The following is a 15039-nucleotide window of genomic DNA, read 5'->3' as shown; positions in this document are numbered from 1 at the left end:
ATTGATGGAAAATTCCATCAGCACATCCCCGTGTCATCATCATTCGGGGATGCTCTTGCAGGGCAGGAAAGAGCACATAGGAGGAACTGCAGGAGGGCCCATTTGTCTTTGAACTTCAGAAGTGAGGAGGTGTTTATGTCTCAGCTGGGCGTGTTTAGGTTTTGGCAACGTGGATGGGTTAGTAATGCCGTGCTTTCTCCTTTTGTTGCAGCTGGTCCTTCGGGGTGTTAATGTGGGAGATCTTCACTTTAGGGGGCTCGCCCTACCCAGGGATTCCCGTGGAGGAACTTTTTAAGCTGCTGAAGGAAGGACACAGAATGGATAAGCCAGCCAACTGCACCAACGAACTGTAAGGGCTGTTGTCTTTCCTGCCGGTGCCCCAGTGGACTTGCCACACCAGTAATACCTCTCCTGATGTATCTCGTTTTTGAAGGCCCCTGGTTTCCTAAACATGCTCTAAGAAGAATGGCTGAAGCTCTCTGGGCTCAATCCAGAGCTGGGATACATAGCGACACCGACAACCATTACTTGTCTGAGAGAAAGAACATTATTCTGAGTATGGAGAGGGCTTTGGATCAGAGGGTGTCTGGCTGCCTGGCTGAGGGCTCCTGACTTTGCAGAGCCAGCAGGAGTGGTCTTCCTGGGCCACTGTGCTGCACCTTCTGCGGTCTCCCGTGGAGTGACAGGAAGACCCACGGGTCAGGAAACAAGCTAGAAAGCCGCGGGGCCGCCCTGCAGGGTGTAGGATTAAGGAACCAACACAGCCTTTCCCTGGTGGTTGTGCCTGGCCCCCGCCTGGCCCCATCGTGGCCAGTAGAGAATCGGTGTTTCCAGAACTTCTCGAACCATTGAAAATTGCCATTACAGATTGACGCCAACCACATTTCCTCAGAGCGAAGGAACTCGTGTTTGGTTACCTAGGTCTCACTTGTGTTTTAGTGCAGAGAATTAAACATGTGTCCAGGCGCCCTCCTTACTGTACCAGATCTGCCTGTAAAACCATGAACTGGTTTGTAGCAAAACCTGCCTCACACTTTAAGTGGAGTTATGTTGTGTTTGTGACGTGTGCCTGGTGCAATAGAATCAGTGCTTTGAAAGGAGTCTCTCTGCCTCCTGCCTCAACCCCTCCAGGATTAACTAAGAAGAGTGATTGTCCCAGAAACTGCGGTCTATTGTGTATCATTTCATGGGGATTTTATATCAGTAATCCCGTGAGTGCTTTTCGGTGTACCGTGGATGTCTGATGAATGGCCACATTTTATAGCATATTATATAAAGGCATTTATTGTGCTCTTTGTCATTCCTATTGTTTTTTTTCTTTTGTAACGTAGAGGATCTGTCGAAACCCAAAATCAAGATAAGACCTGGGAAGCTAAGCCTATCTAAGAGTTAATCAGGAAGTTAGTGTGCAGCCCAGTGGTGGCAGATTAATTCATCAAAAACTTGAAGTTGTAGTTTTCAAATTTTATTTAATTTTTTTTTAACTCAGGAAGCTGTGTCAACTAGAATCATTAAGACCCAAAGCACCGGGCAGATAAATAGTGGAGCTGCTTTGGTGCTGGGCAGGGTGTCAGGGGAGGGAAGACTGGAGACCAGCCCATGGAAATACGCATTTTCCTTCAGCCTCCAAAGCATCTTTAGGGTGTGACGCCATTGTGAGATGTCACTGTGGCCCAGGGTTACCAGGGAAAACACATAGCTGTGTCTTTCTTGATGGCTTCGATGCCTTTCTAACATGTTTTTGTAAGTCAAAGTGCCTTTCGGAGGAACTGGCAGGGAAGCTTTTGGGAAAGTGATTCATGACCCCCTAATCTAGTTGCTTGGAAGGTTCTGATGCATTTTCCTAATTTACACCACGTCCCCATATTGCCTATTAAAACTGACTATAACCACGTACCCAGTGCATATGAAATTAATTCAAGGAAATCCATTTTTCCCAGGTACATGATGATGAGGGACTGTTGGCATGCAGTGCCCTCCCAGAGACCAACGTTCAAGCAGTTGGTAGAAGACTTGGATCGAATTCTCACTCTCACAACCAATGAGGTAAGAACTTCCTTCTAGAAGCCCCTTGTCCTTGGTTGTCTTGTGAGACATGCGTAGTGTTTTACACACACACTCCCCTGTTGGCTGTTGGTTGGAGTCTGTGGTCTTGTTTATTCTTTTTCCATAGGGTCAGATAGTTCAACTATGGGTTCCTCTCAAATCATGATTTTTCTCAGAACTTCATTTTGTGAGTTCTGACTCATGAAACCAAAGACAGAGGGACATCCCCGAGGCTGCCTTCAGTGTAGCTGCTGGTGGAGCAGTCCGGGGTATGTGGGAGAGTGGGAAAGGGGAAGCAGTATTCACTTGCATTTTGGTGTGCATGGGAAAAAGCTTGGATTCCTGTGCAAGTTTGATTCTGTGCTTTGGTCATTAGTGGGTAAACTGATAATGTTCGTCATCATTTGCTTGATGGAATACAATGAAGTTTTCTAACACCAGCTTCTGTTACCACAGTACTATCCTATGTGATCCTGTTGGTAATGCTATATGCCTTGCAGCCTCTTTCTAGGTGTATATAAACATACACTGTTTTCTACAATGAGCAACTTACATGATTTTTACATAAAAACATGTACCTTTTGTTAAAATATTTATTTTCCCTAAAATATTTATGCTCTCGCCTGTAATCCCAGCATTTTGGGAAGCCGAGGAGGGCAGATCACCTGAGGCCAGGAGTTCGAGAGCAGCCTGGCCAACATGGCGAAACCCTGTCTCTACTAAAAATACAAAAATTAGTTGGATGTGGTGGTATGTGCCTGTAATCCCAGCTACTTAGGAGGCGAGGTAGGGGAATCGCTTGAACCCAGGAGGTGAAGTTTGCAGTGACTGAGATTGCGCCACTGCACTCCAGTCTGGGAGACAGAGCAAGACTTCATCTCAAAAAGAAAATAATAATAATTTATGATCCTTGCCAACAAAATAAACACTCGTCTGTCACTCACTGTGCAAATTTAGCCATGTCAGTGGCTCCTTCAATATGCAGATAGAGTGCCTTTTATAATTATGGAAAGCATATGCTCTGAGCAGGAAAGATGATAAACCCATCAAGTCTAGTCAAATCTTAAGATAGAGAAATTGTTAATGAATGTATTTTGAGATATTTAATGAGGATGCACAATAGTGTTCTTTTACACAGGAAACTAACTCCAAACCATGCAATTGTCTCAACAAGAAAAAAGTTAAAGTCCCCCAAGTATTTTAGAAGGAAAATAATACACTTAATTTCTGATTTAGGAAATAGTTTTAGAGTGATTTTTTAAAAAGTAATAATCAAATGTAGTGATATGAAGTCTTAGCTCAGCAGCTTTATCTTATGCGTCTGACTGTGGCCTGTGCTGGATAAAGGAAGAGATTGCACTTAAATGAATACAGCTGACCTTCAGAAGTTGAAAGGAAAGGAACGGTTCAAGGGGGGGAAGAAACCAACTTTCTTCTTCTGCCAAAATTGTTGTTTCTAGTATAAGTTCCTTTAACTGTAGACTTGGAATCTACTGATATCCCTGTTTTTTTCCTATCAGATCTGAAAGTTTATGGCTTCATTGAGAAACTGGGAAAAGTTGGTCAGGCGCAGTGGCTCATGCCTGTAATCCCAGCACTTTGGGAGGCCGAGGCAGGCGGATCATGAGGTCAGGAGTTCCAGACCAGCCTGGCCAACATGGTGAAACCCTGTCTCTACTAAAGATACAAAAAATTAGCCGGGCGTGTTGGTGTGCACCTGTAATCCCAGCTACTCCGGGAGGCTGAGGCAGGAGAGTCACTTGAACCGGGGAGGCGGAGGTTGCAGTGAGCCGAGATCATGCCATTGCATTCCAGCCTTGGCGACAGAGCGAGACTCCGTCTCAAAAAAAAAAAAAATAAAAATAAAAAAGAAAGAAACCGGGAAAAGCACTAAAGTTCTATTTTAATGATCTCATGTCTATGCTCAAAGTGATTTATTTATATATTTACATGTAGAGTGGGTCCGTTGATACTGAAATTTGTATCTAGTACCCTAAAATAAAAAAGCAGAATGCCATATTGTCTGGTGGATATAAAAATCGAAGTTTCTTTCCTTCTGAAAATCATTACCATATGCTCAAGAAAAACGGTTCCATTTAGGACAAAATTTCGTTTTTATCATTGTAAGCAAAAAGTTCTCTTTTGATGTGGTGGGCGTGTTTGTTTCCAGTTGTGTGGTTAATGCTGATGTTGTTGGAACTGATACATTCCCCTTCTGGGATGCTGGGATGGGGACTCTTTCTCTTGCCAACCCTGGTGATGAATTAGAGGGTTTTGTGTGTGTGTGTGTGTGTGTGTGTGTGTGTGTCTTTAAAAATGTCTAGTTGCCAACATTCCATGGGCTCTTTTCTGATAACACTGAGGCTGTTTGTGCTGTGGTCTGCACTTTTTGCCCCCTCTCAGCAAAACCACATGTCATAGAATAGTTGTTGGCTTCTGGATGTGTGAGCAGAACTGCCCCACTGTGCCAGCCCAGTGGAGGCAGAGAGACCCACAAGTTCCCAATTTAGAAAGCTTTTCATAGCTTCAGAACAGGGGTCGGCAACTGCTTTCTGTAAAGGGCCAGGGAGTAAATATTTTCAGCTTTGCCGGCCCTGTGGTCTCTGTTGCAACTTCGCCACTGTAGCCTCAAAGTAGCCACAGACAATATGTAAATAGATGTGTTCTAGTCTGTCTTCTAGTAAAATTTTATGGATCCTGAAATTGGAATTTTATATAATTGTATATAAATTTTATTCATTTTAATCCTATAAGATATTCTTCTTCTTTTGATTTTTTTTTTCAACCGCTTACCAATGTTAAAGACCATCTTTAGCCCTCAGGCCATACAAAGTCGTCTGTGGGCACCCAAGTCGGAGGAAGTGTCACCCTGGGGTGATCCAGAGGGCTTTTTGCAGCACCAGCACTGGATGCCTTGGGGAGCAAAGGACACTTTCTGAATCTCGAACCTTCAAAACTTTGAAACTTAACCGATATTTTCCTGAAGTTTCCTTTAACAGTGCATTATGGATTTAACATACATGAGTATGTCTAAGCCTTTTTTGAACCTGTTTACATTTTCAACTCGGAGAGCTTCTGAGAGTAATCAGTTACATCTGTTAAATTACCCACTGAATGAAGAAGTATTCCCCTTCAATTATCCCCGAAACTACAATAGTAAAATGTAATTCAGAAAATAAATATTCATAGTCTCAACTACTTAAAGGGGGTCTGGGGACCCACAACATGTTACCGGTTTTCATTTTGCTGGGGCTCGCATTTGAAGCAAGGGCTCTAGTGAGGAGGTGGTGTAGACTCAGCGGGTTATTTAGGTCCGTGTGAAGCCGAGTTGCCTGCCCAGCACCTATAGCTCAACTAGGTTTTATTGTTCTCTACCTGTCAATAGTTGATTTATGATGGATTCCAAGAGAAAAGCTAAGGACAGCCTGGGGTACATCAGACGTGGTCTCAGGGAGGTCTTCGTGGAAGTCAGGTGGGCTGGGTCTCTGTTCACCTTCTAGGGGTCTCCTGTCCTGTCCCACGTCCAATACCCACATCTCAAGAGTTTGTGTTTGAAATAAAACTCTTCTCTTCCCTTCTTTCAGGAATACTTGGACCTCAGTCAGCCTCTCGAACCGTATTCACCTTGTTATCCTGACCCAAGATGAAATAAAACGTCTCTCTTCCCTTCTTTCAGGAATACTTGGACCTCAGCCAACCTCTCGAACAGTATTCACCTAGTTACCCTGACACAAGAAGTTCTTGTTCTTCAGGAGATGATTCTGTTTTTTCTCCAGACCCCATGCCTTACGAACCATGCCTTCCTCAGTATCCACACATAAACGGCAGTGTTAAAACATGAATGACTGTGTCTGCCTGTCCCCAAACAGGACAGCACTGGGAACCTAGCTACACTGAGCAGGGAGACCATGCCTCCCAGAGCTTGTTGTCTCCACTTGTATATATGGATCAGAGGAGTAAATAATTGGAAAAGTAATCAGCATATGTGTAAAGATTTATACAGTTGAAAACTTGTAATCTTCCCCAGGAGGAGAAGAAGGTTTCTGGAGCAGTGGACTGCCACAAGCCACCATGTAACCCCTCTCACCTGCCGTGCGTACTGGCTGTGGACCAGTAGGACTCAAGGTGGACGTGCGTTCTGCCTTCCTTGTTAATTTTGTAATAATTGGAGAAGATTTATGTCAGCACACACTTACAGAGCACAAATGCAGTATATAGGTGCTGGATGTATGTAAATATATTCAAATTATGTATAAATATATATTATATATTTACAAGGAGTTATTTTTTGTATTGATTTTAAATGGATGTCCCAATGCACCTAGAAAATTGGTCTCTCTTTTTTTAATAGCTATTTGCTAAATGCTGTTCTTACACATAATTTCTTAATTTTCACCGAGCAGAGGTGGAAAAATACTTTTGCTTTCAGGGAAAATGGTATAACGTTAATTTATTAATAAATTGGTAATATACAAAACAATTAATCATTTATAGTTTTTTTTGTAATTTAAGTGGCATTTCTATGCAGGCAGCACAGCAGACTAGTTAATCTATTGCTTGGACTTAACTAGTTATCAGATCCTTTGAAAAGAGAATATTTACAATATATGACTAATTTGGGGAAAATGAAGTTTTGATTTATTTGTGTTTAAATGCTGCTGTCAGACGATTGTTCTTAGACCTCCTAAATGCCCCATATTAAAAGAACTCATTCATAGGAAGGTGTTTCATTTTGGTGTGCAACCCTGTCATTACGTCAACGCAACGTCTAACTGGACTTCCCAAGATAAATGGTACCAGCGTCCTCTTAAAAGATGCCTTAATCCATTCCTTGAGGACAGACCTTAGTTGAAATGATAGCAGAATGTGCTTCTCTCTGGCAGCTGGCCTTCTGCTTCTGAGTTGCACATTAATCAGATTAGCCTGTATTCTCTTCAGTGAATTTTGATAATGGCTTCCAGACTCTTTGGCGTTGGAGACGCCTGTTAGGATCTTCAAGTCCCATCATAGAAAATTGAAACACAGAGTTGTTCTGCTGATAGTTTTGGGGATACGTCCATCTTTTTAAGGGATTGCTTTCATCTAATTCTGGCAGGACCTCACCAAAAGATCCAGCCTCATACCTACATCAGACAAAATATCGCCGTTGTTCCTTCTGTACTAAAGTATTGTGTTTTGCTTTGGAAACACCCACTCACTTTGCAATAGCCGTGCAAGATGAATGCAGATTACACTGATCTTATGTGTTACAAAATTGGAGAAAGTATTTAATAAAACCTGTTAATTTTTATACTGACAATAAAAATGTTTCTACAGATATTAATGTTAACAAGACAAAATAAATGTCACGCAACTTATTTTTTTAATACTCGTGTCTTACCAAATGGTTTCCTGTGCTTGGAGGTGCTGACTGAGTGCTGTTGTGAATGCAGGAAGGGCAGGGCTGCCAAGGGTCTTATGTGCTACACACGGGGGTGACTTGCCAGAGGGGTTGACTGAGACCAGCAGTACCTGTGACAGGTTGAGGTTGATCCAGTGGAAAATCTGAATCAGTTGGTTGGAGCCCTGGCTCGGTTGCTTACTGGCACCTCAATGGAATCATCGTTCCTTTCTGAGCCCTACCAGTTCCCCAGAGGAGCAAACAAAGAGCCACATGGTAGAGAGCTTTGCAAACTGGAAGGTGACCTAAGGATGACAGGTATTGAGTAGGGAAGACGTTCAGAACATCTGAATCCTGGGGACTTAAAAACCTTTTAGGCTGTTTTCTTCATGATGTATGGAGAGAAGGATTTGCTTCAAATTTTCCAAAAGAAAACTTGGACAAATGTTCGAATAATTATTTATTTTCATACCACCAACGATCTGAAGAGGGAAATGGAGTTTTGCCTGTCAGTTAACAAATGTGAATCTGTGACTCTTAAGGGTCTGTTGTATCTACTTGCCAGCCTCATCAGCAGCAGGAAAGGGAATTGAACATAGGCCAACTTCTCCTGCACTTCAGCCAGGCTCTTAGAACCTTACAGGGCCATTGGTAAAGAGTGCTGTCTTTGGGGTCTTCTTTCTGTTTGAGGCCATTCATGGTGGAGCAAGGTGTCACCAGCCATCAGGGGAGTGGCCTAGGGTCCTGGTTCTGTATTTCCCAAACCTCTGTCCTTCTGTTTCTTACAGGATAACAGGGCTCTTGGGAATGTGATTTTAAAAATAAGGTGCATGAAAGCCACCTAAGAAAATTGTCACCTGTTAGACACAAGTGTACAGGGTGATGTTCTGTACCCCTGGGGACATTTCTACCGTGAGATGTCCTTGGCAAGGGTGAGGATGGACTTGCTGGGGTCTACGCTGGTTCCTCCGTGCAGCTCTCTGGTGCATATGCTGTACTTTAGACACTGAAGGGCAGTTTATAGCCTTGACAGTGTAGATTATAATGGCAGTAAGAACTGCTGTATTTCTGGCCCATTTCATGGAGATGGGTGGGCAAGAATCCTAAATGGTCTTTTGGCCATTTTGATTTTAGAATTATTTTGAAAGAGACACTTGTCATGAAGGGCAAGAAGGCAGTGTGGTCCATGAGAATGATAGGTAATACAGTACCTTTTTTTTTTTGAGACCTGTCCCAAATGAGCATACACAGGTAGGATTCGATAAGAATCCTGGAGCTTATGGCTCTCCTCCCCCAAGAACCTAAGGAGAGCGTTGGAAATTAGTTGCAACTACATGTGATGGTCACCTAACCATCATGAGATGAGTTCATTTGTGAAGAACCAAAAGATTGCAGGCATCTTGGATGTGTAGTGCCCGGCCTGCTGTTCCTAACTGGGAAAGGCATATCCAAGAGGCTGCCTCAAAACGTCTAGCTGATGGTAGCCTCTGGCAGGATGGGGAGCCAGAGAAAGCGGGTGGAAAAGTAGCATCTTCACGGGGGTTCTGTGCATTCCCAGGGGACAGGGTACCCTGCATCCACCACACAGCCTCTCCATCCCTCCTCAGGGAGCTTCTCTGCATCTGATCTTGTGGGGAGTTCCTTAACCCCACACATAGGAACATAGGAAATTAAAACATGCATTTATAGTAAAACGTCTGAACAACTTGAGCTGCTATGAACTGAGGACTCCACCTCCAGTTTTGAAAACAAGAAATGGGGCTGCTACCTTATACTGCATCACTGAAGATTGCTTGCAGGGCTGGGTCCAGAGGGCTCAGCTAGGACAGAAGAGGAAGCTGAGGCTCCGCTTGAGGTCCCTGAGGGTCACATGGCTGGGATGTGGTCTAAGGAACAAGACTGCAGCCTTGTTCAGTGCAGGAGAAAGACAGTGGACTTGTGGGCTTGGACAGAATTGATTGGTTTGTTTCTTACAGCTGGGTGATGGTGCGCAAATCCCAGCTTCTGTCTGGATGTTTGTCTCTAGGTGAACCTGGTCCTCACCAGCCTCTCGACTTGCCATGAGGATTTGCTGTAGGGCTTAGCTGTGGCAGACAGGACTCAATAAGTGTTCGTTTTCTACTTCCTGAGAATTTTTTTCTACATTTCAGTGATTTTAGTATATCCACGTTGTGTAACCATCACCACTATCTAATTCCAAAACGTTTTCATCACTCCATAAAGCCAACAAATTCCCATTGTTAGCCACTTGCATTTCCCCCTCCCCCAGTCCTTGGCAACCCCCAATCTGCTCTCTGTCTATGGATTTGCCTACTCTAGACATTTCATGTAAATGGAATCATATGCTATGTGACCTTTTTTGTCCAACTTCTTCACTTAATGTTTTCAAGATTTGTTCATACGGTAGCCTGTAACAGCACTTCATTTTTATTGCCAAATCCTATTCCATGATATAAATTTACTACATTTTGTTTATCCATTTGTCCATTGATGGACATTTAGATTGTACTTTCCAGTTATGAATAGTGCTGTTATGAACATTCATGTACTGGGTTTTTGTGTGGTCAGGTTTTCATTTCTCTTGGGCATATATGTAGGAGTGGAATTGCGGGATCATATGGTAACTGCTAGACTGTTTTCCAAGGTGGCTGCACTATTTTACATTCCCACCAGCAGTGCATGAGCATTCCAGTTTTTCCACATCCTTGTCAACACTTGTTATTATCCATATTTTTTATTATAGCCATCCTAGTGGATATGAAGTATCTTCATAAGAATTTCGTAGCTGAGGAGATAGGATGCAGATCATTGAATAAAGATACATAATGCTTTCCTGGTTTTTCCAGAAAAAGATACTTCAATTAATCAGCTTGGTTTCTACACTGATGAAATGGCCAAGGTAGCTAAGATGCCTCAGTGGATCTTCATGAAATGGAGAAGCTGAGAAACCAATCAATTCCCTGTCTTCCCTCTTGGCTGAGAGAGGAAGGAAGCACTGCTAAGTGGTGCAAGGATGCAGGATCTTTCTGGCTGGAATGCTTGAGTGTATCTGTCCTCACATCCCCAGTTTTATACCAAGTAAAGTCACGCAAGCTTGAGCAGTCCATGCGGACTAATGAATGCACCATTACTTATGTATGTGGGTCCATTAGGTTCCTCCTTACCAAGCCTGCATTTTGATGTTATTTATTTTTTCATGGTTTTAAAGATGAAAGCAAAGTTTATCTTCTCTCACATTTCATCCCCAGGAGCCTTGAAATGACTTGGCTGTCGACCCTGGGCAGGGACAGCAGAAGCCGTCCATGTCTCAAGTGACATTCTGGAGTAGGGCCCTTCTTGTGCCCTTTTTTTATGCCGGGTGTCTGGGATTTTTGAATGGGCTCCTCCAAATTGCCTTGAAGTCCTGTTTCAGAAGGTCACATGAGGTGCTGTAGAAGTCAGTGGATGGGAGGGCATTCAATGTCCGGCACTGGGGAACCATCCGCTCCGGACCTTTGAAATACAATTTACAAAGGGATACCTCAGCACATGAAGCTGTTCAGTGACTGAATTCAGCTTACCGTGCACATATGGGTAGGTGATTTTTTCCTTCTGCAGCTCAGAACACTGCCTCCTTTTGGGCTGCACTCCTTTTAGGTTTCTTTTCCTCTTCTAATTCTTTTTTAGGCTGGAGTGCAATGGCATGATCTAGGCTCACTGCAACTTCCGCCTCCTGGGTTCAAGCCATTCCACTGCTCCCAGCCTCTAATTCTCTTTTGAGGACACTTAACTGATGCTTGCTGGTGTCTCTTACTAGTTAAAATCCATAGCATGAGGTGCTTTGAAAGGGACAGAGGACACTTAACTGACGCTTGCTGGTGTCTCTTACTAGTTAAAATCCATAGCATGAGGTTCTTTGAAAGGGACAGAGGACACTTACAGATTTATAAATTAAGAATCAAGCAGCTGGGCGCGGTGGCTCATGCCTATAATCCCAGCACTTTAGGAGGCCGCTGTAGGCAGATCACCTGAGGTCAGGAGTTCGAGACCAGCCTGACTAACATGGTGAAATCCTGTCTCTACTAAAAATACAAAAATTAGCCAGGTGTGGTGGCTAATGCCTGTAATCCCGGCTACTCAGGAGGCTGAGGCAGGAGAATTGCTTGAACCCGGGAAGTGGAGGTTGCAGTTAGCCAAGATCACGCCGTTGCACTCCAGCCTGGGTGAGAAGAGCTAAACTCCGTCTCAAAAAAAAAAAAAAAAAAAAAAGAAGCAAAGAACGCTTTCTTGGTCTGTAAGTGGGATGACAAATGATTCTATGTCAAAGGATTGTTGAGTTAAATGAGATTGTACCTGGGAAGCATGAAACAGTGCCTGCTGCATATTAGCCACTATCAACACTCAGGTATTAGCTGCTATTTCCATCTGTCTATCTACAGCTATTTGACATAGATGTACTTACTGAAACAAATATGAAGATAAAATATGTGTATGTGTATAGATATAAAATTGTCATTGCGGAAGAAATTTGTTTGTGAAATTGCTAATCTATTACAAACACAAGTGTCCATTGTACACACAATTTTTAACAAAAAACATTTAATAAGTTTTTGGTTTGTTTTTTTTTTAATTTTTTGAGACAGGGTCTTGCTCTGTTGCCCAGGCTAGAGAGCAGTGGCACAATCATGACCCACTGCAGACTTGTCCTTCTGGGCTCAAGCCATCCTCCCACCTCAGCTTCCCGAGTAGCTGGGACTACAGGCATGCACCACCATGCCTAGCTAATTTCTGTATGTTTTTTGTAGACCTGGGGTTATGCCATGTTGCCCAGGCTGGTCTTGAACTCCCGAGCTCAAGCGATCCACCTGCCTGGGCCTCCCAAAGTGCTGCAATTACAGGCGTGAGCCACTGCGCCCAGGTTAATAAGTTTTAAATCAATGAAAATAATGATCAAAATTTTCAAAAACTTATGAAGTTGTATTGATAACATTCAACCTGTTATGGTTCCCTTTTTAAACAAGCATTCACTTTACGAATACTAAATAGGCAATGAATGCCTAATATGATTTTTAAGGGACAATTAAACACTTTTAGAAGTGCACAGACCAGGCCAGGCACGGTGGTACACACCTCTAATCCCAGCACTTTGGGAGGCCGAAGCGGGTGTATCACCTGAGGTCAGGAGTTTGAGACCAGCCTGGCCAACGTAGTGAAACCCCATCTCTACTAAAAATACAAAAATTAGCCTGGCATGGTGGCGGCATGCCTGTAATCCCAGCTACTCGGGAGGCTGAGGCAGGAGAATCGCTTGAGCCTGGGAGGCGGAGGTTGCAGTGAGCCAAGATTGCACCACTGCACTCCAGCCTGGGCAACAGAGCAAGAGTCCATCTCCAAAAAAAAAAAAAGACATGCGCAGACCAAGCTGGTGAATGGTGAAGTACCACGATCTCAAAGGCAGACCGGAACAGGAGCAGCTCAGGATGGTTTCTGCACGGCAAGGTCTCTCCGGCTCCAGGTTTGGTGTTGTTACAAGCAAATTGAAATGGGTGGTGTTACAAAGGGAAATATCACATGGGAAAAACGGAGGAAGCCTGGGGCTCTCGAAGTTTAGGATTGTGTATGGTTCAGGGGCTGCGGAATTTCTGGGAATTGTAAAATTAGCGCCGTTCACCTGACAGGGTTGGAGAGTGAAATAAACTTTCCGTTGTGTGGGGAAGTCCATTAGATGTTCTTAATCACTTCTACAGCGTGTACTGCAGAGGTTTAAGTGGGAGAAGATGGCTGGAACATGAACACGGGCTCAAGGCTGCCCTTTCAGATTGTTCTGTGACTTGACTTGCTGCCTCTTCTGGAAGGAGGCTGTGTATATCTTTGTACACATGATCACAGCAGGAGAGGAAATCGGAAGCCTCCTCTTCTTCCTGGCCTGGTCTTGACTCCCCATGAGACTGGCCCTTTCGTTGCCTCTTGCCGGATTTAGGTTTCACCAAAATGCAGAAATTCCTTGTTGATGGCTGGCTCTCACCCAGTAGCAGCCAGAGCTGTGAATGAAAAAGGCAAAGTCCAAACTTCAAACCTGGGCTGAGGGGTGCAGGGAGTGGGAGGGCTTGTTCTGCTGTTGCTTATTTCAGAGCCTGACAAATGGAGGCCCACAGACCAAACCCAGCTCACTACCCGCCTTTGTACTGCTTATGAGCTAAGAAATATTTTTAAATGGTTGAAAGTATTATTTTAAATATATATTTTGGCTCACGCCTGTAATCCCAGCACTTTGGGAGGCTGAGGTGGGTGGATCACGAGGTCAGGAGATCGAGACCATCCTGGCTAACATGGTGAAACCCCGTCTCTACTAAAAATACAAAAAATTAGTTGGGCATGGTGGTGGGCGCCTGTAGTCCCAGCTACTGGGGAGGCTGAGGCAGGAGAATGGCATGAACCTGGGAGGCAGAGCTTGCAGTGAGCCGAGATCATACCACTGCACTCCAGCCTGGGCAACAGAGTGACTCCGTCTCAAAAAAAGAAAAAAAAAAAAAAAAAAAATATATATATATATATATATATATATATATATATATATATATATATGTGCAAATTATATAAAGCCCCAGTTTCAGTGTCCGTAAATATTTACTGGGACACAGCCACATTCATTCATGTACATAATGTCTATGGCTGCTTTCCCACAACAGCAGCAGAGTGGAATGGTGGCGACAGGGATTACCCACAAAACTGAAGACATTTACTACCCATGGCTCTTTATGAAAAAATTTGATGACCCCTGGCTTAGATCTACAATGTGCTAGTTGGTTGCCAGACCTAGGCAGGTGGAATCCTTCCCATGCCTTGTGGGGAAAGACAATAGCAGATAACAAGGGCCTGAAACTGGGAGTTGCTTTCAAAAATAGGGGTCCAAACTGGGTGTGGTGGTCCAGGCCTGTAGTCCCAGCTACCGAAGAGGCTGATGAGGGAGTATTGCTTGAGCCCAGGAATTTGAGGCCACCCTGGGCAACATAGTGAAATCTCATCTCAAAAAAAAAAGAAAAAAAGAAAAAAGAAAAAAAAAAAAAAAGAAAGAGGCCGGGTGCAGTAGCTCATGCCTGTAATTCTAGCACTTTGGGAAACTGAGACGGGTGGATCACGAGGTCAAGAGATCGAGACAATCCTGGCCAACATGGTGAAATCCCGTCTGTACTAAAAATACAAAAATTAGCCAGGTGTGGTGGCACGCACCTGTAGTCTCACCTACTCGGGAGGCTGAGGCGGGAGAATTTCTTGAACCTGGGAGGCAGAGGTTGCAGTGAGCTGAGATCGTGCCACTGTACTCCAGCCTGGTGAAACAGCAAGACTCTTTCTAAAAAAAAAAAAAAAAAAAAAAAAAAAAGCCAGGCGCGGTGGCTCACACCTGTAATCCCAGCACTTTGGGAGGCTGAGGTGGGCGGAACACGGGGTCAGGAGATCAAGACCATCCTGGCCAACATGGTGAAACCCCATCTCTACTAAAATACAAAAATTTAGCCGGGCATGGTGGCACACACCTGTAGTCCCAGCTACTTGGGAGGCTGAGGCAGGGGAATCACTTGAACCTGGGAAGCGGAGGTTGCAGTGAGCCGAGATGGCACCACTGCACTCCAGCC

At 44.0% G+C, this 15039-nt stretch overlaps 1 protein-coding gene across 23 annotated transcripts in view, besides 1 other annotated feature; it reads left to right on the top strand.

Moving 5' to 3' along the window:
* The window catches only part of FGFR2 (fibroblast growth factor receptor 2), a 120129-nt gene extending 112715 nt beyond the window's left edge, over positions 1-7414 (top strand). For 13 of the 23 annotated variants that reach the window (NR_073009.2, NM_001144918.2, NM_001441090.1 and 10 more), the window contains 3 exons: positions 212-349; positions 1941-2046; positions 5723-7412. Coding sequence is in view for 22 of the 23 variants with exons in the window: in NM_001144918.2 (NP_001138390.1) it covers positions 212-349; positions 1941-2046; positions 5723-5887 (409 nt within the window). In the remaining variant the exon portion in view is untranslated. Of the gene's footprint in view, positions 1-211; positions 350-1940; positions 2047-3566; positions 3921-5630 lie in introns of those variants that run through there. The other 10 variants (XM_017015921.3, XM_017015920.3, XM_006717710.5 and 7 more) reach the window with 5 other exon arrangements.
* Positions 142-675: an enhancer, noted in NCBI's record as "H3K27ac-H3K4me1 hESC enhancer chr10:123244583-123245116 (GRCh37/hg19 assembly coordinates)". NCBI's record gives its function as "activates a minimal SCP1, AML or CMV promoter by ChIP-STARR-seq in naive H9 embryonic stem cells {active_cell/tissue: H9 hESC(naive)}" and the evidence as "EXISTENCE:reporter gene assay evidence [ECO:0000049][PMID:30033119]".

Source organism: Homo sapiens, chromosome 10 (genome assembly GCF_000001405.40).
Source record: "Homo sapiens chromosome 10, GRCh38.p14 Primary Assembly".
NCBI lineage: Eukaryota > Metazoa > Chordata > Mammalia > Primates > Hominidae > Homo > Homo sapiens.
Note: the sequence above shows the minus strand (reverse complement) of the source record. Positions and strands in the feature narration are given on the sequence as shown.